Source organism: Homo sapiens, chromosome 2 (genome assembly GCF_000001405.40).
Source record: "Homo sapiens chromosome 2, GRCh38.p14 Primary Assembly".
Classification (NCBI taxonomy): domain Eukaryota; kingdom Metazoa; phylum Chordata; class Mammalia; order Primates; family Hominidae; genus Homo; species Homo sapiens.
This window is the reverse complement of record NC_000002.12, coordinates 199,354,987-199,381,316: the sequence shown is the minus strand read 5'-3', so window position 1 is coordinate 199,381,316 and position 26,330 is coordinate 199,354,987. Positions and strand designations below refer to the sequence as shown.

Genomic DNA, 26,330 nt, shown 5'->3' with positions numbered 1-26,330 from the left:
TTGTGTTATGAGGGGAGAGTTTTGTTCTTGTAGGAGGTTTACCAAGAATGTCCTGACATAGGAGATCTTTTTCTTCCCTTTCCAAGGGCCACATCAAAACAAACAAACAAACAAACAAACAAAAACACACTTTGTGGCCTGCAGAGATTCTGGGGATGATTTCTTTATTTTTTCAAATATGGCATCTGGAACAAGATATCTCTCTAAAGAACTGGAGGTTCTTTGCAGTCTTTTATTGTAAAGTGCCTGATAGGTGTGATTTAAGGAGTGTTGTCCTTTAGTGTAAGTGTTTTGAATTTTCCCCTTTTGGGCAATTTATACTTTAAATATGGACCCCCAGCATTCCCATCTGTGTCTATGAATGGGTGAGGATCTGAAAAGTCATTTTTTGGTTCAGAGAGTAACTCTGAGCCATTCTATGAGGGTGAGGGTGGGCCTTCCAACTGCAAATCTGACAGGGGATGTTTGTTTACAGTTAACCTTAGGCATGCACAATAATTACATTTGTATTGGGGAAGTTTATAACCACACTGCCATGCCATTTCCACCAGCACATTGGAAAAATCATATTTTATAAAAATAGCATCTCTTGTATTGCAAATGACTATTTTTCTTGGATGAGTGGGATGACAAACTCAAAAGAGACCCCTTGGGCCCTCGCAAAGTCTTGGAGAAGCAGTTTTACTTCCCTTCCTTCACTTAGACCCCATTCTTTAGCATTTCTTCTGAAGCTCCCACAAGACCCAAGAATGGCTGCTGCAGTGTCTCCTCTTCAGTCAGGGACCCTGGTTGAGGTTTGTGTATTGTTCATTATTGCTCTGTTTTGCAGTTGTTCAAAGTTGGAAGACTTGCCTGCGGAGCAGTGGAACCATGCCACAGTCCGCAATGCCTTAAAGGAACTGCTCAAAGAGATGAACCAGAGCACATTAGCCAAAGAATGCCCTCTCTCCCAGGTCAGTATCTTCAGGTGGGGGTCTGGGAAACAGAAGAAGCCATTGGTAGACTCTCTATCAGGGGGTTCCTTCTGCTTAAACAACTGTCTTCTCTGTCTTTTATTTATAGACTTAAACTGCATTTGAGGTGTAAAAGATTATGTTGCTTCTGGTTGTAGAATAGAAGTTATAGCTTATTAACCGGGCATGGGGTAGCTCATGCCTGCAGTCCCAGCACTTTGGGAGGCTGAGGCAGGCTGATTGCTTGAGCTCAGGAGTTTGAAACCAGCCTGGGTAACATGGCGAAACCCCATCTCTACAAAGAATACAAAAGTTAGCTGGGCGTGGTGACATGTGCCTGTAGTCCCAGCTACTCAGGAGGCTGAGCTGGGAGGATTGCTTCAGACTGGGAGGTGGAGATTGCAGTCAGCCAAGATCACACCACTGTACTCTAGCCTGGGTGACAGAGTGAGACCCTGGGTGGTTCTTAAAAAAAAAAAAATTAGCATTTATTGAGACTGGGTAAGGAGAGAGTATTAAAACAATTTACGTATACGGGCCAGGCATGGTGGCTCACACCTGTAATCCTAGCACTTTGGGAGGCCGAGGCCAGAGGATTCCTTGAGCCTTGGAGTTCGAGACCAGCCTGGGCAACATAGCAAGATAGCGAGACCCTGTCTCTAAAAAAAAAAAAAAAAAAAAGAAAAGAAAAGAAAATAGACGTTTTACATATACAGTCATTAACTTCTCACATATTTCATCGGAGATAGGGACCAGTGTCTCCATTTTATAGATCAAGAAACAGGAGCTTAGAGAAGCACTTACATTCACTGCCTAAGCATACTAGCTGGCTAAGTGGCAGGCTGAGATGCTACTCCCCACCCCCCTGTTTCAAAGTGGATGCACCAGATTGTTGTTTTATTTGGTCAGCTGGATGAGTCAGCCATGCTAAATCCATCTATGCATGATTTATTGGGCCTTTTGCCTGTCTGGTGTAGAGAGATGATCTTTACATCATATACATTTGTAGAGGTTTTGTAGTGAATTCACAAGAAGAAAATGCATCATGAGGAAAAGTGATACTCTGTTTTTTAGTGAACGCACCATAAACTAATACAAACCATGAAAATGAGATTGAGAGGATCAAAAGAAGAGCAGTGGAGGAAAGGGCTGCCTTTTCCATTTGTGTTCATGGGCTGGGACTCATTTTTTTCTACTGATGAGATAATATTTTTCCTATGGTGGATTGGGGCTGCTGTAGAAATGAACCCAGGTTGACAAATCATCTAAAGCTTTGAATGGAAATCTGTTTCCTGGTGTGAGCTGCTACACATGATTTAAGACAATGTCTGTTAAGTTGAAGGGAAAATAATGAGAAACCTATTACAGAAATTTGCTGTGCCATGAGCTTTGTTCCAGGGTAAGGGAGTCTCTGGAAGATAGGAAGGCTATTGGGTAAGAGCATGTATCCTGGAATCAGGGCTGGATTCATGTCCTGGTTGACAAGCCTCTATAACCTTACCTTTATGAGCCCCCCTTGTTTGGTTAGTAAAACTGAGTAGTAATGGTTCTGAGTTATATAAAGAGGATTAAATGATTGGAAATTACATAAAATGCTTGGCCTAATGCCTGGCATGCAATGATGCACCATAAACAGTATCAGCTATTATTATTGAGATATGATGTGAACTGAATGTGTGTGTGTGTGCCTTTGAGGGTGTTTTGGAATTTGGATCCTCTGAAGCAAAGTATGCTATTAATATTTTTGCCTCGAAAAAAATCAAGAAGGCATGCATTCACGTATAGGCAGCTAGATAGAAAAGGACATTATTCTGACCTTATGTTTAGGACTTTTCATGGAGGCCATTTTAATACCTACCTGTAGGTATGTATGTAGATGTTAAAGCCTTGTTACATACAAAGTTATAAAATGCATATTTTGATTATACTGGTGATACAAAGGAACTGGACAAAGAACAAGTTAGGAAAAGCTGTCAATAATTTTTCCCAAATTTCACAATCATTCACAATTAATTTTCTCTTGCATTCACATGGAAGTCGAAATGGGCTTTGTGTGGAAGTGTACAAACCTCTAACTTGATATTACCAATTCAGAAATTTATCCAGGGCTTCTGAGGCATGTGGAAGTTTGGTCCAAACTGTTGTATCATGAAAATCATGTTTGGTTATAATTGTAGATATGACTAGAGAGGCAACATGAGTGAGGAGAATCCAGATCAGGAGCCAAGAGCCCTGGGTTCTAATCTCAGTTCTTTTATGCCAGATATGTGATCCTGGGCAAGTCTGTTCACTTCTCAGGGCCTCGTTAAACTCTTCTATAAGCTGGGCATCATTGTATTTGCATGTTTCACATAGTTCGGAGGGTTGTCTTGACGTTCAAATGAGATCATCTTTAACCCTATCATAAAAACCTCTTTCCCCTTCCACTCTCTGCTCTCATGGTTTGCTCACGTAGTTGTCTGACCTAAACAGTTTCTTCTCCCTCACCCTTCTGTTTGATCCTATGGGTTCCATCACTTCTCCATCTAAAATCTTTTTCCCTTGTGCCACTGCCTTGTTCATTCTTTCATCATCTGTCATCTAAAATATTTCAGGTCTTCTTGCCTCATGACTTTTCTCCTGCCACCTGATTCTCCTGTGTTCCTTGTTTATAATTCCTCAGTCACTCCCCCTACCCACCCTGTAGGAAGTACGGACTCCATATCATAAAGACCATCAAGATGACACTGTTCAGCCTTATATTTCACTAGAGCTACCTTCTTCCCTCTTCCTGCACTCATTCTATATTCCAAACACATGAAATTAATTATTTTGAAATGTTTACCATTGCTCAAAATATCTCTTGAGAGTGGGAGCAACCTAACTAGTGTGGCATTAAAAATCTAACAAGGCCACCTTCTGTATTATCTTAAAATTTAATGCCAAGTTTATATTCTAGTCCATATACCTGTTTTGTTGTTTTTTGTTTGTTTGTTTGTTTGTTTTTAAGACAGAATTTCGCTCTGTCACCCAGGCTGAAGTGTAGTGGCACGATCTCAGCTCAGTGCAACTGCCGCCTCCCTGTTCAAGCGATTCTCCCGCGTCAGCCTTCTGAGTAGCTGGGACCACAGGCATGTGCCACCACGCCTGGGTATTTTTTTTTTGTATTTTTAGTAGAGACGTGATTTCACCATGTTAGCCAGGATGGTCTCGATCTTCTGACCTCATGATCCATCTGCCTCAGCCTCCCAAAGTGCTGGGATTATAGGCGTGAGCCACTGCTCCTGGCCCCTGTGTTTTAAATATTTTTAAAATGGCATAAAATCATTTTGCCTGTTAAGTTAGTAATCTCCTTCTCTCCACATGAGATTGGTTCTTTAGGGAGATGTACCTTGTTAATCTCTGGCTTTGAAAGCCCCTGCACACAATCCTGGTGACTCTAGAGTCCTTCAGTTTGACACTTGCTTGCTTTTGCATGCATGATTTCACCTGGCTAGAATGCACTATTCTTTTCTACTTGATGAAATTATCTTTCAGATTCCAGCTGGAAAGACACTGCTAGTGAAGTGCCTCAACCTCCTGGTTGAAGTAGTTGCTACTTCTGCTCTTAGTAGCCTTTGTAAATAACCCTGTCACAGCACTTATCTCAGCCTGTTGTCATTGTTACCTGTCAGTTTCCATCACTAGATGGACTGTCCACAATAACAGAGGCCATCTCTTATTGATCTTTGTGTCCACAGCATTCAGCATAATATATATTTTGTATGTAGCTGTTACTATAATGCAGGAATTTAACCTTTTAGCAGGATAATTCTTTGTGGTGGGGGGCTGTCCTGTGCCTTGCAGCATCCCCGTCCATTACCCACTAGATGCCACTAGCATGCCACTATACCCCTTCCCCCAGTTGTGACAACCAAAATGTCTCCAGATGTTGCCAAAGGTCCCATGACAGGAGGAGTACCACTCTCAGTTAACCAATTCTCTGATGTGCTTAATGAATTAAGTTTAAAAATGTTTCATAAAGTATAGTTTTATTAGTATGTAAAGTTTTATTATTATTACAGTGTTCTTGGCAGTTCCAAAACATTTTGAACTAGAAACAGTGAATAGAGTAATTTGGTGATTGATGCCCAGCACATTTCGGTTAAACAGGGGCTCATATCTGTTGTTTAGATTTGGGTGAGATTTGATTTAGGCTTCTGATATGTTGTGTGATTATGGAAAATCTCACTGGGATAGCTCTTTTCAGCTATCATGGATATGTAATGTGGACCCTGGCATTCATCCTACAGCCATTATCCTTAAACATTCCAGATTATTCACTTAAATTGCATAGCTAGATTGTAATTTAGTGTGGAGATAAGCGCGCCTATTTTGTTGGTAGTTGTCATAGAACAGATGCATGCAGTTTTTATAGTTCAGCCTGTATAAAGTAAAAAAGAATGCATTTTTGTTCTAAGCAAGGTGAAACAGTAATTCAACAGTATATTTCCACCAGCATTCCTGGAGTCCTGATTAAGAATCAGGCACTTTGCGATGGGCTGGGGATATAACAGTGAATCTGAGGGAGGAACTAAAACCCTTTCAATATAGGAAGAAGAGAGTGAGGCATCCAGTACTACTCACCTTAGGTGAGAAAGGTGGCTTGTTGGGTTTTTCAAAAATAGACTCAACTCATGAGTAAAAGATTCCTGTTATTGAAATAATTCTTCCTTATTACCCCTAAGCCAAACCATTTTAGGTGATTCTTCACTTGAGTTTGGCAATTACAAAGGGAATGATTCAGTGGATAGTTCATACTTTCTTGAACACCCCAGTGGTCTGAAGTTCAAAAGAGCAGTTTTGAAGGTGGAAGAAAGGTATGGAGAAGTCCATAAAAGTGCCACAATTGTAGCCTGAGGCATATATATATTTAAAACAGGGAAGTAATGATTTAGCCGTTCTCTGTCTGGCCAGATGCTTGGAAAGTACAGATTGTGGTTGTGTGTCTGCGTATTTATTTTTGATTTCACCTTTCAAAGTGTGTTTAAGTGCTGGCACCTCTTCCTTTTCCTCTGATGTCTCTGTGAGTAACCACTTGCAGCCTCTTTCCTCTGCCACTGGCTGTCCTGAGCATCCTAATTTAGCAGACCTTAGGCATCGTCCTCCCTTATTAAATAGTCCTTAGCTGTTCCAATTTGAAAACCTTATGATTGCATCTTTCTGTGGCTTACTTATTCTTACTTGAGGAAGAGTTGAAATACCTAAGGTCGGCTTTTGATTGCAAAACCCCAGGTGCTCAGGGTTTTGACCCATTTAAATAAGTAGAGGTACCAGTACCTGCCTTGTGCATCTCATAGGTGATCATGATGTTCAAATGGGATGACTAAAGAGACAGTCTTGTTAACTGAAAACTGTGGGGTTTTTTTTTTTTTTCTTTTTGCGACGGAGTCTCCCTGGGTTGCCCAGGCTGGAGTACAGTGGCATGATCTCAGCTCACTGCAGCCTCTGCCTCCCGGGCAGAAGCAATTCTCCCCGCTCAGCCTCCCAAGTAGCTGGCATTACAGGTGAGCACCACCATGCCCGGCTAATTTTTGTGTTTTTAGTAGAGATGAGGTTTCACCATGTTAGCCAGACTAGTCTTGAACTCCTGACCCCAAGTGACCCTCCTGCCTCGGCCTCCCAAAATGCTGGGATTATAGGCATAAGCCATTGCACCTAGCCTGAAAATTGTAATGAAAAGAACAATTTGCAAGTGCATGCAACTTCCAATGTGCTCCATCTCCTAAACATATTCTCTGTGACTCTAGACATGTTTTCTTATGGTAAAATATACATAACATGAAGTTTGCCATTCTAAACGTTTTTAAGCTTACAACTGAGTAGCATTAATTACATTCACAGTGTTGTGCAACCATCACCCCTGTCTCTTTCCAGAACTTTTTCAACTCTCCAAATGGAAAGTCTGTAACCTTTAAGCAACAATTCCTTATTCCCCTCTCATCCTGACCCCTGGTAGCCTCTATTCTGTATTCTGCCTCTGTGAATTTGCCTATTCTACCTACCTTATGTAAGTGGAATCATAGAACATTTATTTTGTGCTGGTTTACTTTACTTAGCGTGTAGACATGTTTTTGAAGCAGCTCTGTCCCATGGTGCTGGCTGAGACTTTGTTGCTGAATATTTGAGGAACAAAATGACTGACTAAAGCTATTGAGCTGCAGAGATGTTACTAGATTTCCGGTGTGACAATGGTATGGCGTTCATGTAGTGTGCCTTTAGAAATAGATTGTAGGATAATTATTTCTGTCATCCTGAGCAAGCCTTACCCATTTGGACTTAACTCATATGTACAACATGCCAAAACAATTGAGTAGTGAAATCAAGCAGCCAATTGGGTCAGCAGAAAAAAACAAATTGAGCATGTGCTCATCATATATAGTGGCTGATCAACTGCATGGACCAGAATCATGGTAACTGGTTGCCAACTGTCCGTTTAATTTAACCTAAGTTCATGTATGTAGTGGGGATGCATCATGTCTTGTGTTAACCAGTTGCCAACTGTCTGTTTTAGTTATTTTCATGTGAGGTTATTTTAGTTTGTGTCCCAACCTCGTGGACTCATGCTGAAGAAGGCTCACAAATGACAGCTTGAAAATATTCCTAACCAAGGGATTGCAGTGACCATAAGAAATGATTGCACAGTGGGGAGAAAGATGCCATTTGCTGATTCCACATCTTGTGCTAGGCCTTTTACACAAATCATCTCACAGAAGAATCCTTACACTCTCTGATGCAGGAGACAATATCCCCAATCACAGGTGAGGGTGCTGACATTAGAGAAGCAAGCCATTCAGCAACAGCTTAGGGGAAGAGCTCTCAAATGTAGTGTTTTCATACTCCAAAGTTCAGAGGAAGTGTTTCTTTCCCTTAAAATGGCAGCAGTTTTCAATTCTGATGTTATAGCTCAGAAGTGGGGACAGAGAGGGATAGTAGAAGGCTGCCAAATGACATTAAATGAATTTTTTTCATGACAAAGTAATTCCTCAGAATCAGTTTTTTTCCCATTACCTAATTGAAGTATCATTATATTCTCATGTTTAATATGTTATTTAGCATATCACCAAGCAGATTGAAAAGGCCGAAAATGAGCAAAGAATGCACATATCACTCACTCATTGCCTGTCTTTGCTCTCTCCCTCATGAAGACATAGAAGAGGAGGCTAGGGGATGCCCCTCCTCTTCCCTCAGACAGGGGATTCTCACTGACAGAATATGTAATTCTTCACATTGCTTTAAAAATGTTCTTCTTCATAACAAGTGTATTATGTGTTTTCAGCTTAGCTACTCTTAGTACCACACTGCTGTTCAAACAAATAAATCCCACCAAGCCAAGCAGATTGTAGTGAAGGATATCCAGTTATTTTATCTTTTGTTTTATTTTGGGAAAAGGGGATGCTCAGATCTCTGTTTTTCTAAGTGTATCTTACAAATCATTTTAACCTGTGTTTATTATTTTGCTTTTTCCTATTAAGTTTTAAATTCCCTTTAGGTTCCGTAGTTTTCTTGGATTCTAAACTTCTTAGTTAACTTGTATAAGGGGCCTGAGATCACAGCTTCATGTTTTCCTTTTTTTGCTGTTGTTACCTTGTTTTTTGTTTTGTCTAAAGTATTGGTTGCAGCATCAGCTGTTGAGCTTGGGGTCGCTGATGGAGGTGGTGGTGAATGTTTCCTTCCATTCATTCGTTAGTCTCCCTTCTTAAGAGATCCATGAAATACTGGTCCACTAACAGAGTGTCTTCATGGTGCCTCCCAGTGCTATTTGACTTTGGGAAAGATGCTTTTTATTCTGAGTTTCTGGGGCCTCAGTTTGAAAATGGAACCATGCTTATAATCATATGTGACATCTATTCTCTGGGCTAGTTGAAAAACAAACAAGTGAGTTAAAAAGTTGTTTCAGGAACCTAAAAGAAAATCTATTTTTAGATAGATCAATCTAGCTATCATAAGTATTAAATACCAATATTATAAAATTTATTCTCTTGCAGTTTGGCTTAGAGCAAATTCAAGTCTGCTAGTAAACTTTGGAATAAGTAAAGAAAATTCTAATACAGTTTGATTTCTGAAATACCTTATTTAAAAAAAATTCCAGATATTAATGGCCAACTAAATGTCAAATTGACTACAAATAAGGACACCTATACTTTATCTCCCATCCAAAAACCTTTATACTTAAAATTTCATAATTAACTACAATGAAGTCAGAAATTTTCAAGTTTCTGTAGTTGGAAAGACATTTTAACCATTTTAATTTATCTTAGAATATAATATTATTCATAAATTAGCTTTGTCTGTGGCCACTGTTTATGTGGTGGTGTTTGTGGCTGTGTCTCGGTATCTGAGTGGGGACTGCCGCAGTTGCCCATTATACGTGTACCCTCATCCTTTCTTTTTCACAGCCCACCACCATGCAAAGCGATACATGCTTAGTAAATGCAAAATCATTTTAATATTAGCCTTAGTAAATCATAGTTCCTCGGTTTAAGTGTTAAAAATAGCAATACACATATTTTCTGGGTTATTTGTATTAGTATTGCTTTGTATAAACAGAGATACTCGAGTTGGTTGCATTCTGGATTGAAAAAGTTGACTCAGCTCTTATTCCTTTATCAAAAAGATATGGATCCTAACAGTCCAACTGTGCGGTTGCTTTAGAATGACTGGAAAACATAAAAGAGCAACATAAACTGCAAAATTATATGTATTTTAAAAAGCAAAAAATTGAATTAGATCTTTTTTGGCAGGGTGGTAGGTGGGAAAGACATTAATTATTACTCATCCCATTCTGCATCAACTGTATCTTATCAGGTTTAAGATGCTATTGATTGTAAGATGGATCTCTATTTCAGTGATGTTGAAGTATAAAAAGTGGTTGAAATACGGTAAATATAGATTCTCGGTGTCCCAGGACCTTTAGAGAACATTGTTTTCTGTAGAGTAATAGCACATGCTGGGTTCATGTTAGCCCCTTTCAACTTTATGTATCATTAATTAAGTGTTGATGTTCTAGATATTTAATGGACACTAACATCAAGATGACCTTGTGGTATGTGTCCAGAGCATTCTAGTGAAGCCTAGTGATTTAGCTTCAGATTATGAGAATTTAACAGTCTAATGTAGGGTTAGAAAATATTCATGAAACTGGAATAATCAGATATAACATGGCCTTTCTTTTAAAATATTCCCAAGATATTTTTATGTCTTCTGATTTTAAAGTCTTCTGAGGATGGACTATAACAATTCTTATCAGTAAAAACTATTTTGGGTATTAGTTCTATATAAAGACCTGCAGGGAGTTGATATGAATAAAATGTGTCATAAACTCAAACAGACTTTTCTGGTGATTAAAGATTCTCATCTAGGAAATTTGTTTGCTACTTTTTTTTTTTTTTTTTTTTTGCTCAGTTCATAGTTGAAACCTGTTTATGTTTTTGTTATGTGATCAGTAGAGGTAACAACTTATTTATGATTATCTGGGACAGAAAACAAATCTAATTGAGTCAGGGTAGCCAACATCTCCTTTACAAATGAGTTATATGAAATATAGGACCTGCCGACGGAGCCAGTAGGAGCCCAGATATTCATTTCCTTGCCACTCTGCCTTGTGCAGGGTCAATTGAAGATATAGCAGGAGCAAGGACAAAGAGAGGGTAGAGAGTGAGGGGAATTTGGATTATCTGGGGCCAAAATGATGCAGTCGTCTGGGCTTGTGGCCTCGTATTATGGGCCAGGAAGAATTGAGGAACAGTGCCAGGCAGTAATTAGACACTGTTCGTTTTAGTTAACTTTCTAGACCATTTGGCAATACAGAGTTTAACTCTGACTCCTGCCATGGCTGTGTATCCTGTGCCTTTCCAGAGGATAAATTCATACAAATAAGATAGAGAGATGACAAGTACGTTTGTGGTTATTCACATATACCAGTATGACTGATGCATCTATTATTAAGCTACTTTCATGTTAAAAAAATTTATTACTATGACATTTCAGTTTGGCACTTTTAAATCTCATCTCTGTCCCTTTTCCTGTGTTAAATTTCAGTGACTCAGATATCCCACATCAGAACTATGTGAGACACGAGATAGAAAAAAAAAAAAATGAAACAGACATAGTCACTGTCCTCAAGGGTCTCACAGTCTAGGAACAGAGTGAATCTCAGCCAGAGCGGGAGCTAGCTCAGCTAGTTAGGGAACAGCCGTACTTGGTCGTTAATAGCGCAAAGCAGAAGACTGTCTCCAGGAGATTAGGATTCCAGTGGTCATCCTATAAGGCAGGAGACAAGGCCTCATAGGTTCTGTGATACACTCCGATGATATTAGCTCTTTGAGTTCCCAGTGCTGTGTTCAGACCTTGGGATGAAAAGAGTTATCCTTACTATCTTCCCTCAGAGAAAAGAATTGTCATGTTTAGATCAGCAACTGGGGAGGGCTAACCATCTGCGAAAGAGGTTTCTGTGAATTGAATTAAGAAACCCCTCCCCTACCAGTACTGCATAGTGATTAAAAAAGAGGAGTCTGTTGTTTTAAATGGGAGTTTATGAAGGTCTGTCTGCTGGCATTTTAACCTCCTGTTAAATAACTTGATTTATTGTTACTCTTTTTATCTCTATTACTTTGTAGAAATGTCGTTAGAAGTTCTAAGATTTCTCTGAACTGTTCTATGTCTGGGGCTAACTTTTTTTGAGAAAGATGAGATTTCAAGGCAAGATATAAAACCTTACACAGGTCATTTGGATCTCTTGAGTTGTTTATGCACAGGACAAAATAAAAAATAAGAAATAAAATCTATGTATAAAACATACACAGTCATTTCAGGTATACATTAACATCTGCCACAAATGTTGGCCCAAACATACTGTATTAACTGCATCTCTGTAGGAAGTTCAATTCAAGGTGTGTAATTATAATTTTAACTTTTCAGTGCTATGTCAGGCTATGCTCCACTTCTCTTTTAACCCCAATGATTAATACACACAAATCAGCTGAGCAGTTGGGCTGAGGAGGATGAGAGCAAGGAAGAATCATGCACCTAAGCACTCAGAAAGTTTGAGCTTTGGTTCATTTTTTATTGAAACACAGTACAAGTATTGTGTTTAGTTTCCCCTGCTCTAAAATAGCACTGTTAATTTTTTCATTTGGTGAATTTTCACACAAGTTCTAATCACACGTTTCTATAAATTATATTAATTTAACTTATTTCCCTAAATGTTGTTCTGCAGTGTGTAGCACGGATGTTCTCAGATTCTTGGCTGTGTAAGCTTGTTGCAGTTGGAAGCGGAACAGAAACATCTGAAAGGCATTATTTGGATTACGGATGCTGGAGCATCTGATCTCACCTTTTGCTCTGGTTCCTAAATCACAACTGTTCTTCCTCTTTGCATTTAATCTGCATGTTCTGTCCCCTCCATTGTTGACATTGCCCCAGGGTTGGCTTTTTGGAGAAAGCACTATCATTGTATAAATTAAAGGGATGGTAAATTCAGGTAATCGTGTTTGATGTTAATAGTTCAGTTTACAGGAGAGTGACTGTTTTAAGTTTAAAAGAAAAAAGAGGTTAGTGCAGGTTATAAAGTGCTCTTTCTTGTCCCTAAAAAGAAGTAGTCATATTTTGAAAAAATAACTATAATTTTTTTTTTCAGAGTATGATTTCATCCATTGTAAATAGCACATATTATGCCAATGTGTCAGCAACCAAGTGCCAGGAGTTTGGGAGATGGTATAAAAAGTACAAGAAGATTAAAGGTAAACTGACTTTTTTGTTTGTAAAGCCTGTTTTCAGTTTCTGAGGTTCATGAGTTGTTGGTTGTTTGGAATTTATGCTCATTTTAGATACAATTTACGTAATTTTTTTACAAAGGTGAGATCTTTAATATTCCTGTCATGAGATCCTAGTTGGCTCCCTTAAAACTAAGAAGATATTTGAAGTAAAAGTAAAATTAGTAGCACCATATGTTAAGTTTATAGTTTTCATAAGTGATACCTGCAAAGACCAAAATCCTTTAGAATGGAAACTTAAAAGCTGTCATTCTAGGTTAAATCAGCACTTATAGTTTGGGTACTGATTAACAGATACTGTTGGGGTATCAGGATGTCTTTGGTCAGAAATGGAGTTTGATGTTGTGTTCCTGTGTCGACGATTCCAGAGCAGTGGTGAAAACACGGGCTCTGCATTCAGGCAGACTTGGGTTCAAATCTTTAGCTTCTACATTCTAGCTGTGGGAGCTTAAGCAAATTATTTAACTTCACCAAGACTCAATTTCCTCATCTGAAAATGGGAAATCATCAAAGTACTTAGGTCACTGGGTAGATGCGAGGACTAAATAAGACAATACTGGCACAAAGTAACCTCTTGACAAATAATAGTATACTACTACTAATAATTAATAGTAGTAGTCATACTAGCAGTAATATATTACATGTAGAATTATGTTTGGGCCTGAAAATAAAGTTCCTTTGTGTAGTAAATAGCATGCTATTTAGATCACCTAGACTTTTAAACATGTCAGGACCATTTCAAATATGTCAGTGGTGGAAAAATTCTTTTGTTTTCACTCCATTCAGATAAATGTTACCTACCAGGGTCCCTGAGGGGATTTGGGGAATTTCTTGTAACATTGGTTTTGATGGTCCTTCCAGTCCATGTTTTGCATAAGTATGACATATTTATCACACTTTATAATATGTATTCATAGCCTTGCTTACTCTGCCCCCATCGGAGGGGCAAATGACAATTTATGGTGGGTAAGTAAAAGTAAAGGATGAATTTGTTTCTTTTACTACTTGCAGATTTTCTCAGGGGAGACAGGATGTCAAAGTAGTGCTTGTTGGCTATTGAGTGTTTGGGAGATTTTTGACAAGGTTGTCTTTTGAAGAAATGAAGTTTACAAACATTGGCAGCACATTTCTGATCACAAAGGAATGAGAGTGTTTTATGCTAAATATATGTTTTATAAGGCAAGCCAAAATATTGAGCTACCCAGGAGAAATTAAGTACACTGAAAATTGAATTAAGATCCATTTCTTTTCAACAGACTCTAAAATTCTTAGGACCCGTTAGATCCTGGTTTGGGCAAATGCTTTCGCATATTAATATTCACCCTTGTGCAATATAAGATGAATAACCCCTTCTCATTATAAGACATCGATGTGTGGCTCAGAAGGTTTCTTTTCTGTAAGTGTTGCCTCCAGGTTTTTCTTTTAAAATAGGATTGTTAAAGTACTTTGACATATCCTCTTCGGCTGAAAATCAAAAGAATCATGCAGCTTCAAGGTCATTTGTTAGATCCCATTTACTTGCTGTTATAAGAGAAAGTAAGAGAGTGTCCTCTTTTAATAGGCTGGAGTGTAATTCCAGATTCAGAAAGATTGGAAACTCTTCACTCTAGTGTTTTCAGAATTGCCACTACAGAATGTGTGTGTGTGTTTGTGTGTGTGTGTGTGTGTGCATTCGCACATTAACACTCATATCTTCTACTTTTCTTTTTTCTTTCCTGGAGCTTTAATTCTTCAAGCTGTATCTTTTTTTTTTTTTTTTAAAGATAGTAAATGCACAATTAAATCTTTAAGTGCTGTAAAAGCAGACTGAGACCTTGATTTCATTCAGTTGGTCAAGGATCCACACCTGAAGAGGCTGTCAGACACTGTGTACACATACTATTCAAAGAGATGGAGCTAGTCATTGCTGTTGAAAAGTGTGTGTGTGTCTGTGTGTGTGTCAGTAGGAGGAGAAAAGGGAAGGTTAAGGTATGTGTGAAGTAAACACAAGCTGCCATAAAACAGTTCAAGTGGTGTTGATTCATCAACCAAGGGAGTGGGAGGAAAAACAAAGAATTCATGACAGGTATAATGGTGTACAGAAAATAAACACCCAGAGAAGTGCGTTTTATTAACTTTCGACCCTCAGAAAAAGGGAAGTGTTGGACTGAAGCAGGCATATTTTATTTGGTAGAAGCCTTTTTCTATGAATAGATGTTGCTGTGGGAGTTTCTACCTAGTAGGACTCATTTCTCATGGGAAAGTAATGATTTGATTTGTAAGAGTTGTGTCCCTGCTTTCAAAATGAAAAAAAGGCAATGAATTCCAAATTTGGAAACCAGTAGTAGTGAAACCAGAATTCTACCATAGGGCTTTTTCTGAGACCCCAGAAGTCAGAGTTCCATGTCCCTCTCAGCCTCCCTACCTTCCATTTCTGCCTCAAAGTTACCAATTTACATGCACTTCTATGCACTATTCAGCTTAGAAGAAAATCTTAAGTCAACTTACTGAGGTCCCAAACTAAATGCAGGCTACATTGTTAAATATGTTTCCTATTATCTGCTAATGTCTGTTTTAATAAAACAGTGGGAACTAAGTGGTTGCTTCTTAATCAAAAACATGATTTCCTAAACATAAGCTATGTGATTCTGTTACAAATTGCCACATATAGATCTCCTAGGTCAAAATTTTTTTCTCTTCTCATAGAAATAAATAAACGGTAAAATAATGATATACTCTGAAAGATCAAAGTAAATATGACTAAAACCTGGCAAAAATAAAAGTCTACTGGAAGGACAAAAAAAAGATCAGATTGCAAATTCTATAGTCAATGCTGAAATAAATATGAGAAAAATGAACAATCAATAATTTGATATCATTAAAAACAGATGTAAAAACTACATACAAATGGAATTGTCTAAATTTTGAAGTAAACATTTTAATGTGCATTTTTTGAATTTGTTGTTATTTCAGCTAAACTATTTACACTTATTCTTTAGAAAGTCCTAAATTGGTTTGGCTTAGCATGTTAACTTTATTTTCCCCAGTGATCACAGCAAAGCACATTCTGTTTACCTTTTTTCTTTAATTTCAAAGACAATCATGGTTGACACAGACATATTTGAGTTAACATGAGCATTACTTCAGAATAGATAGGGAGACAGTGTGTATACTCTGGTTTCAAGGTCTAAGACCATGAATCTGTTTCCCAGGAATATTTGACATTGAAGAAAATGGAGTGGGTAGGTAGGGTAGGGTGGTAGGTTGGTTTAGACAGCATTTTTTTTTTAATTGCTGATCATCACATACCATAATTGCTTCTGGACCAGATTTTACAATGTAGAGCTCATAAGCTCCGAAGTATAAGAAAAAAAAAAGTACATTTTATCTAAAAGCAAAGAAAAAAGACCAATATTAATAGTTGTTTAATGTTAGGAGTTTTAGTATTGTACATGAGATTCCATAGACACCTAGAAACATTCATGCTATTCCAAAATTATTTTTAAGGTCTTGGGATTATGAGGGATTTACCCAAGTAGTTTTTTCCTAAGTTCTACACATTTTAGTAAAATTTTAATTTTTTACACAACTTTTTTTGTCTGAACTCTTGATGTGAACTTTCCCCATCATTTTTATGAAATGAAGTGGCAATCATATATGTAGTAGCACTATCAGTTTTACTCTCATGGCAATCTACTTTTGGGGGGATATAATAAAAATAAGAAAACGCCTTAATAAAGAATCTTTTATATATTTTAAATGTGTCCTAATTAATAAGTTACAAGAAAATAATTTTATATCTAAAGTGTTTGTCATCTGGTACCAAAAGCAAAATAAGCAGTCATCTTTGGTGAGGTCAATCCCAATTATTTAATATGCCTCAAGAATTGAAGGGTCATTGAAAGTTTACACAAATACAGGTGGTTATTATAAAATTATTTGTGTTATAAAATAATACCATTAGAATGAGTGGACCTAACCAAACCCTGTATTTTGGCCAGAGTGCAAAATTATCCCCATCACTTTTCTTTTCTCAGTCATTGCCCAAGAACCGTCTGATTGTTAGTTGTCTTAATTTTATTTGTTTATTTGAACTTCTTTTGCCAGATATTAAAAAGCTGGGAGAAAAGAGGATTTTAAAAACCAGTGTTACTTCCCCAAGCCTGGTTTATTCTACTAATCAGTATTTTATCTGACCCTGTCTGATCTAGTCTTGCAAGATCAAACGTCCAGGCCAGCAGGCAGACAGTAAACAAAGCCCATGAAGGGTTTCGGTAAACACAAAGATTAGATGTTGAATGAAAATTAAACTCCTTGAACTAGTCCTCTGTACTAAAGTGGTTAAGTGGGTTGTGATTAAAAGAAATAAGTAATTATGATCATTATAGCTGAAATGATACAATGTTACCACATTTAAAGCACCTCTTGTACTCAAAAATGATTGTGTCATTTACAAAGTGGTGCCTTGGAGTTGAATAGAGAAATCAATGTCCCCTGACCTGGTTCCATAAGGCAGCCCTTGCTTAGCCATGGTGGTATCAGTGGTCAGGACAATGCCTTTAATCAACTCCTGGTCCTTCTGCCTCTGCTGTTGTTTAACTCTGATGAGGTAAAAGTAACTTACTTTTGTCTACCTAATTTTTCTGTCATGAGAGAAATTTGCTTTCAGCTTCAGATCTAAATGAAGTGTTCTGTAAGGAAGTTTGTCTGCCTTCTGCCTATGTTGTAAGTTTGTCTGCCCTCTGCCTATGTTGTATCTTGTTGAAAGTAATGGCAGGATAAAATCCTTTGAATATTGTATACATATTTACTTACGTATTTTATACTGACAAATTATAGCTGTTTACAGGGTACAAAGTGATGGTATGGTTTTTAATACAACGTGAAATGATTAAATCAAGTGAATTAACCTATTCATCACCTCAAATATTTGACATTTTTTGTGATGAGAACATCTGAGACTTACTCTGTGATATTAAAATGCACAGTACTCAATTATTAGCTATATTCACCATGCTGTACAATAGATCTCAAAAAAAACCACTTGTTTCGCCTCACTGAGACTTTGTACCCTTTGATTATCATCTCACTGCTCCCACCTCCCAGCCTCTGTTAAACACCATTCTACTCTCTACTTCTATGAATTCAATTGTTTTAAATTCCACATATAAGTGAGAACGTGCAGCATTTGTCTTTCTGTGTTTGACTTGTTTCACTTAGCACAACGTTCTCCAGTTCTACTCATGTCGTCACAAATATCGGATTCATAGAAATAGAAACATCATTTCTACTGTCAGCCACCTTTTATCTCACCAGTTTTTCAACATATAGGAGAGCCTTGTGTGTTTTCATTGTGATAGTCACTGATAGTATGCATAGATCACCTATGCTTGCTTGGCCCTCCAATGGAAAGCTTATTGGTAGTTTAAGTGGAAAAATGGTGCGTGGGGAATGTCTTGAGCACTCAGCTTAGACATGGACTAATTCCTTGCATGGATCTTAAGAAGCTCATTCCAGCTGTACTGTAACTGCTTTGTTGGGCTGAATATACTTATTCATAAATGTTTAAAGATATAAAAATGTTTGTTAATAATATAGTTTGTAGATTAAAAGAAATGAGCTTGCAATCTACTCATATTTGTACTATTTCTGATGTTATTTTAAATAGACATTAAGAAAGGATGCAAAGGGAAAAATGATCTATTTCCTTACGCCCCTCCCTGCTTCTCTTGCATCTATTCATCCATCCAGCCTCATGTATACCTACTCTTTGGAAGAAGCATAAGACATAGTTCCTGCTTTCCAAAAGCCTACAATCTGTATGAAATGCTTACTTTATAATATAACACATATCTTGTCATTCAAAAACAAATTCTAGCTTCTATTTTATATATAATACCTGGCAGGATTCTAAGGGCTGGGAATACAGTGGAGAGCATTACCTTTTTCTTCCTCACAAGATAATTGTAGTCATAATTAAGTAAATAATTTTAACTAAATGTTTAGTGAGCACTTCTGCTACAGGCCATAATTAATGCTAGAAGCAGTGAGAAATGTCCATACACACGTAAGATATACTTCCTACCTCTGGTTGTGTTGTCCTTAACCTGGCAGGGGAAGCAGCTGTATAAATGGATCTGGTAAATATATAGTAGTGATATAAACTAGTGTAATGGTGGCATAGAGGAAAGTCCGGAAACTCTTCTTGCTAGATTTGACGTGGGGTGGGGGGTGGGCGGTTAGGGAGAGACAGCGCATGAATTATACCTTAAGGACAAGTGGAGTTACTGCAGCAAGGAGGAAAAGAGAAGGAGGAATGTTTTGGGCAACCGCATGATCATCAGTACAGATGCAGAGGTACGAAAGAGCATTGCATGTTTAGAAAATTACAAGTGGCTATCCAGAATGTCTAGAATGGCAGTACATTTATCCTGATACTATAATATAACAGGTGCTCAGAATGGCTAAGCTTTTGATCAGTGAAAAGGCAAAGGTAGAACTAGCTGGATATAGGGAGGGTAGTGACACCAAATGTTGATAGAAATGGTTGGGACCTGGCTGGGCGCGGTGGCTCACGCCTGTAATCCTAGCACTTTGGGAGGCCGAGGCGGGTGGATCACAAGGTCAGGAGGTTGAGAGCATCCTGGCTAACATGATGAAACCCCATCTTTACTAAAAACACAAAAAGTTAGCTGTAATCCCAGCTACTTGGGAGGCTGAGGCAGGAGAATCGCTTGAACCCAGGAAGTGGAGGTCGAAGTGAGCTGAGATTGCGCCACTGCACTCCAGTCTTGAGTGACAGAGTGACTCTGTCTCACATAAAAAAAAAAAAAAAGAAATGGTTGGGACCTGGCTGGGCGATCATATTTGTTGTAACAATGAAAAATAAGGCTGAGAAGGTAGAGAACACACCTTAGGGGTCTTTGAAAGCCCAGTTGACGTATTTTGAGAATCCTTGAAGGTTTTTCAGCAAGAGAGTGACATATTGAAAATGAGGTTTTACGAATGATTCCCCTAGACACCATCTGAAGCTGTATGAGGGTGTGAGTGGGTGTATGGCAGGAAGGGAGGTGGGTGGGAGGGGGAAGGCTGGTGTGTACACCTGGTGGAAGTAGGCAAAGTCGAACCTATTGCAGTAATTGACGGAAATGGAATGGTGAGGGAAGTGAGGCCCTGGCTTTGAGTGGCACAAGTGAGAAAGACAGGAAGCCACCAATGCAAGAGGTTCAAGCAGAGGAGAGCCATGAGACTTGGTGAGAGTAAGTAGGGGTATGAGAATGAGAAAGAGACATGCAAGCAGAATCCAGGTTTTGAGCTTAAGTGACTCTTGATGGTTGTGACAGAAATAAGACAATACCAATGGAGACGAAATTGCTGATACCTCAGTGAGAATTTTGACAACTAGGTAGAAATGTCCATTAGGCTGTTTGACATGTGAAACCAGCCGACTAAAGGACAGGATGGAGAATAAATTTTTGAGCACTTTTTTGGATGACAATTGAAATGGTACCAAATGAACATTCCTTAAAGAGGAGAGCAAGAGCGGGAGAGGGCTGGAAGCTTTGAGAGGAAAAGGGCCAGGAGTTAAGAAGATGCAGCTAGAGAGAGTGAGGTGTCACTGAAGCCAAGGGAAGATGAGTTACCAGGGGGAAGTGTTATCAAGGGTGCAGTGGAGGGGCAGGGGAGAGGAGAGGGAATTGGAGGCTCTTGGCTTTGGCAGAAAGGATACCATAATGACATTGGAGGGAGCTGTCTCTCTGAAGTGTGAGAACAGGGAAGCCTATGCATCTACTGAGGGAGGGGTGGCAAGGACATGAGAGGAAAGAGTCTAAACGTGGCTAACTGAAGCATGAGGGCTAAGTGTAATTATCAGAAAGAGGATGGAGCCAGCAGTTTTGAAGAGGAAGAGGAGTGATAAGCAAGAGCCCACCAACTAGGAGGGAATGGATTTGAGGCTCAGATAATGCAGTGCCTTTGAAAGAAAGAGTAATAGTGATGTTTTCTTCAGAATCTGGGAGAAGGGCAAGGAGATGTGTAAGGAGGGAAGGTTCTAGAGATGGAGTGGACGGTGAGGATGGGCAGCTCATGCCATGAAGTGTGAGGCTGGGCTGGCATGACCTCCTAGCAGTGAAGGAGAGAATGATTGGCATGGGGGCTTGGTGGTGAGAACACCTGAAATAGGATCTGGACAGACCATGTCTGGGGAACAAGGAGGGAGTGTGCTTTAGATTGCTCCTAGTTTCAGATTTCCATTTGTCCTGCCCAGAAACAGAATAAAAAAACTCAAAAACATAGATGTGATGGGGGCTGACAAAGAATCTACAGAAGTGTGAAATGAGAGGCTTTGTGTGTAGACCATGAAATGCCCAGCTTATTTAAAATCTGATGATTGTGGGGACATCCTCTTCTACTGGGGAGACCAGCAGGTGAAAATCAGAGAACTCTTTTGGTTTCTTGATCAATTAAATAAAGATTATTACCTAATTTTCCTTAGACGATTACAAGGTTCAAAGCTGAAAAGCACTTAAGCTCATAAGGTGCTTGAAGCACTTTAACTATAAATGCTATGTAAGATACTAGGACTGAAATCACATTGCCTAATGGGAGACAGTTATTTAACTATTTGCCTGACTGATGAATGGCCTTCATTCCACCATTTGTGAGAATTTGAGATTATTTGACCCTTGGAGTTCTGAACTCCCAAGGGAATAGACATGAATCTATAATCATCTAGAGTACAAATCAGACTATGAGTTCTAACATTGGGCCTTTCAGGGTATCACCTTTCTAAGTTTTATGTACCATAGAAATTTTGATTTTTGACTAATCCCCCTTCTGGGCCAAAAGCTGCTTGAAAGAACTTCAGAGGTAGAGGTTTTGGGAACACAGGAACATATCCATTTTCTGTCCTCCCCAGAGTCCTGTGAGCATGAGGCCTTAAACACAGTGAATACTTAGTAAATATTAATATAATTGAATGTAATATAGATGAACTTATTTGAATATATGCATTTAGAACAGTTTTATTTTTACACATATTATATGGTGCACTGATCTTATTTGCTACCTGATCTGTCAATTGAGAGAAAAAAAAGAAAGAAAAATCTTTGCTTGTTTAGTTCATGTTGCAAATGTCCTTAGCAAATGTGATTGGTTAGAATCATTCTATGTTTCTACTAGTTATTGAGCTAAAGACTTAACAGTAGTCAATTCAGTTGAATAGGACAGTAATACCTTTATAAAGTACGAATTAGAGAACATTTGTGTAGCCTAAGATAAACATGCCTTTGAGGTTTTCACAGCTAGTTTATTGAGTATTTTCCTCAATATAATGGCCTAAAACATCAAAGTCCTATAAAATCACAGAGACTGGTCAGAGGAAAAGAATGAATCATGAATTGATTGTTTTCTTTGATTAACTTTTCTTCAGGTAGGTTGAATTAAAGAATTAATACACATGGAATGCCAACTGACAAAGGCAGAATTTTCCTAAGCAGTAATGTTAAGTTTCAACAATATGATCTTTTTTTACTATCATGTGCTGAATTCACCTTAGAAATTATAGTTTTAGATTAAAATAAAGAATAAAAATGAAGATATTATTAGATATAAGCAGTTTTAACCTATGTAGAATGTTATAGGAATACTTGAAATGATCAATGATATCAAACTGTGATAAAGCATTGTTTGAAACCAAAAGGGACAATAGTGTTCTGGTACAGAGGGTGGAGACTAAGAAAGGTAGATAATGCTCACTTTTTCCATGGAACATAATGGGTCCTAGGAGCTTTTATTAGCAAAGAAACAGAGGTGTCCACATTTGAGTTACTTTATGGTGGATATATGTTTCTGTGGAGGTTAATATGATGGAAAAAGGAAGTTGATAATAAGGGGAAAATACACCTAAGAAAACCAGTCATATGGTATTATCACAATGCTGGCTGGTAGGCTTTGCTTATGGGCTGTTTTATTAGGAGTTAACAAGTTGGCTCTGAATATCTTGCTCTAGGCAGGGACTTTGCAAGCAAGTTCTCAACCCAGAGACAAATTCTCTTGAACAAATTTAGAGAAAAACAAAATCTTTGGGTTTGGTGGCAAGTTTTTTGTTTTTTCTTTTTTCTTTCTTTTACTCTTCAGCTCTTTCAAGCTCAATAATTTTTTTAAATTATATTTGGTGAACTCATCTGGTAGTTTTATTTGTTCGTTTTAATGGTATGGGATTTATATCTGAGAGATCTATTAGCTTTGGCTACTGCAATCATGTCCATCTGTGTTTGTATTAACAGAATTTTTTTTTGTATAATAAATTGACCTTATACCTCCAGTTATTGACTAGGAGAGAATAAACCAGAAGTATTTTCAGTGACTAGGCATATTCAGTGTTGGCAGACGGGATGCTATTCTGGTTTGTTGGGGGAAATTAGCATTATGTTTACCTTTTAAAAAGATTTTAACCCAATGAAAGAGTTTGGGTGGACAGTGGGGTTGTTGACCATTAATGTGTAGCCCAGCTGAGTGAAAGGAGACAAAATAAGTATCAGGTGGAAGCATATGGAATTGCCATTTTTGTAGGTCAAAATTGTTACGTATCGCCAATTTCATATAGTTCAATTATATGTGAATTTGTGATTGCCCAAGATTCTCAAGCTGTTATATTATGTGAGTGTGCATACCCAGTTTCATTTCTTGTTGGTTACTTGTTTCAAAGAAATAATTTCTATTTATAGAATTTATAGGGTACCTGAGAAAGCTCTCTGCTGTGTGATTCATATCTTTCATCAGTCAGGTGGGAGTCCATGCTGATGACACTCATTTTGGGACAAAAGCTTTGGCCTCAAGAAAAATAAGATAATGGGAGGGGATTTATAAAAATAAATATAATCACTATATTTATATACTGATTATATAGGCACATATATATATCTTACAGATGACTGGAATGAATTGCTAATAAACTGACAAAATAGGAATTTAAAGGAGCTATCTTTTATCATCAAATAGAAATGCACTTTAAATCATAGGCAGATGTTATGGACCCATCTACATGTGGCAGACAGTTAAAGTGTCTGAAGCAAATATATTGATGGAGTTTTTTAAAGTTAAGATTATTCAGTACTGTATCTCTAGGGGCTGCCATTATTCCTGGCACATGATAGTTGATTAATAAATGTTTATTATATGAATTTTAATGTAAATAATTCTATTTAAGTGACTAGCTGATTCAACTGTTGAGGAATCAATGATTTCATCACTTTTTGAATTGACAGTCTTTTCAGTGTATGTTACACAAAGCATACAGTGAAGGCTGAGGTTGAGCTTTTACCATTCAGATGACTTATCCATCCTTCCTGTCACATACGTGTGCCACGTGCACTTGTGCACACAAACATGCAAATACAAAGTGAAACTTATCGGTAAGAAAGTTGATTGCTCCTGACCCAAATCCTAAAGCTATTAATAACCACATGCCCCAAACTGGGCAGTTCATCTTAAGCAGCGGAATACAGACTGCAGGGTCCTAAAGGCATAGGTTTGAATTCAGAATCTTCCATTAACAGGTTTGTAACATCAAACAATTATGACATTAAAGTCAAATAATGACATTAAAGAAGCCAACTGAGCTTCAGCTTCTTTAATAAAGTAGGCATCTTAATATCAATGTCATAGAATTGTTGTGAGAGTTAAACGATAATGATGTGTCAGGGATTTAGCTCAGTGCTTCAGCTACTATATAAATGGTGGGGCTTGGTGTTACCTGAAATGCCAATACAGTTTGAAAAAGGTATGTTAGTAGTAAAAATATGAAAATTCTTATAATAAATATATTTTTTCTAAAGAAAATCCATTAAAAAGCACTTGTGAAACATTTAGGCTTTAGAACTTGACTTTGAGTTATTCACAAAAAGAGGAAAAAGTAGCCATGTGGTTTGTGTTTCTTATTACGAGGCGAGAGCCAGCAGCCTTAATCATTTTGAATATTCCTAAATATTTATCTGCATTTGGACAGTTATTCGACCTAGAGCACATTTTTTAAATTTCTCTGGTATTAGACAAGATCGTTGTCTTTAAAAACTGGGCTTCAAGGTTTTAGAGCATAAGGTGGGGAAGCAGAGAACCTGGAGAGGAGGTTTGTAAATTTAAGGCATTCATATGCTCGAGTATCTTTTTTCTGTGCTCTAATGTTTGGGTACCAATTTGAAATTGTTGGTTTGATTGGCAACATTTTTACTAAGAGTGCCAAAAGCAAGCCAGTGTCCTTTTTTACATTTGTAGAATCACTTCCAGAGTACTTTCTAAGGTTGAAAGAATCGTAGAGAAATTCTGCCGTCGTCTTTTCTTTCTTTCTTTTTTTTTTTTTTTTTTTTTTGGCTTATGTTCTTCTACCCAGGGTTTCTAGGAGAGGTTCTGGGGAATACTAGAGTGTTATCTTATTAAGGAATCCATTAGCACTCATTCATGCTAATCCATTTACATTTGCATAAGCATCTTAATGGCTTAAAGAAAAATCCATAGGCCAGAGATTCTGGAAATTTCTCAGTGCAAAACCTTTTACCCAATTCATTGCTTTCTACCCATTATAACTATGGACAAACCCAAGGGGCTGTTTCACAAAAGCAACTGTGTTAAGGTTTACAGCGTGAAAATACTACAATAATAGCTTTAGAAATATTATCTATCTTTTTTGCAGTATTGATAAACTTGCAAGAGCAATACTGTAATTAATATTGCTATTGCCACTATATAAACAACTATTTTTCTTGTAATGGTGAGTTTAATAGAGATATCTAAGGAAAGTCTTAAATTCCTGCTAAAGAGTAAAGAGCAGAAGCAAGTATTCTGAGAAAGATAATTGTTTTAAAACGGTACTTTTAAAGATGCTCTTAGATAAGTAACCTGGAAGGTTACTTTAAGACCACTTTACAGGTAATTCTTCCCATTTTACAGATAATCCTCAGATCACTCATCTAGTTATAACCCAGGCCTTTGAAATTTCAGTTTGCTTTTCTTTCTACCTTTCCTATGCCACCTTGCTATTATTGGCAGGCATCTGTGCCAATCAGGTGCTTCACCTTTTGCTCAAAAACCTTCAGAAACTATACTTTGGGGCACTAAGTCATTGGATTATATTTTGAGCATTGAGATTTTATTATATTTACTTTACATAATTGCAAAAGAAATAATAAAAATTAAGTGCCAGAATATAGGAGTGAAAGACTATATATATATATATATATATATATATAGATACACACACACACACACACACATACATATGTATATACATACATCCTTGTATATATACACATATATACACACATCCTTGTATATATACACATATATACACACATCCTTGTATATATACACATATATACACACTATATATATATACATATATAGTGTGTATATGTGTGTGTGTGTGTATTATTTTATTTTTTGAGTTTTGAAAATGTTCTTGTAACAACCTAAAATATATAAATATATATCAGGGATTTATGTTATTTAAAATAAATACCTGGCTTCCTGGATGTACCGTAACAAGTGTCTTAAATAAGATTTTTGGACCAAATACCTTTTAATTGTAATGCAGGTAAATTCCTGAGGGAGG

At 37.6% G+C, this 26,330-nt stretch overlaps 1 protein-coding gene across 5 annotated transcripts in view; it reads left to right on the top strand.

The window, feature by feature from the left end:
* Positions 1-26,330, top strand: part of SATB2 (SATB homeobox 2) — a 201,767-nt gene that overhangs the window by 89,950 nt on the left and 85,487 nt on the right. For all 5 annotated transcript variants that reach the window (NM_001172517.1, XM_005246396.4, XM_047443775.1 and 2 more), the window contains 2 exons: positions 830-953; positions 12,610-12,712. In NM_001172517.1, the coding sequence (NP_001165988.1) occupies positions 830-953; positions 12,610-12,712 (227 nt within the window). The remainder of the gene's footprint in view (positions 1-829; positions 954-12,609; positions 12,713-26,330) is intronic.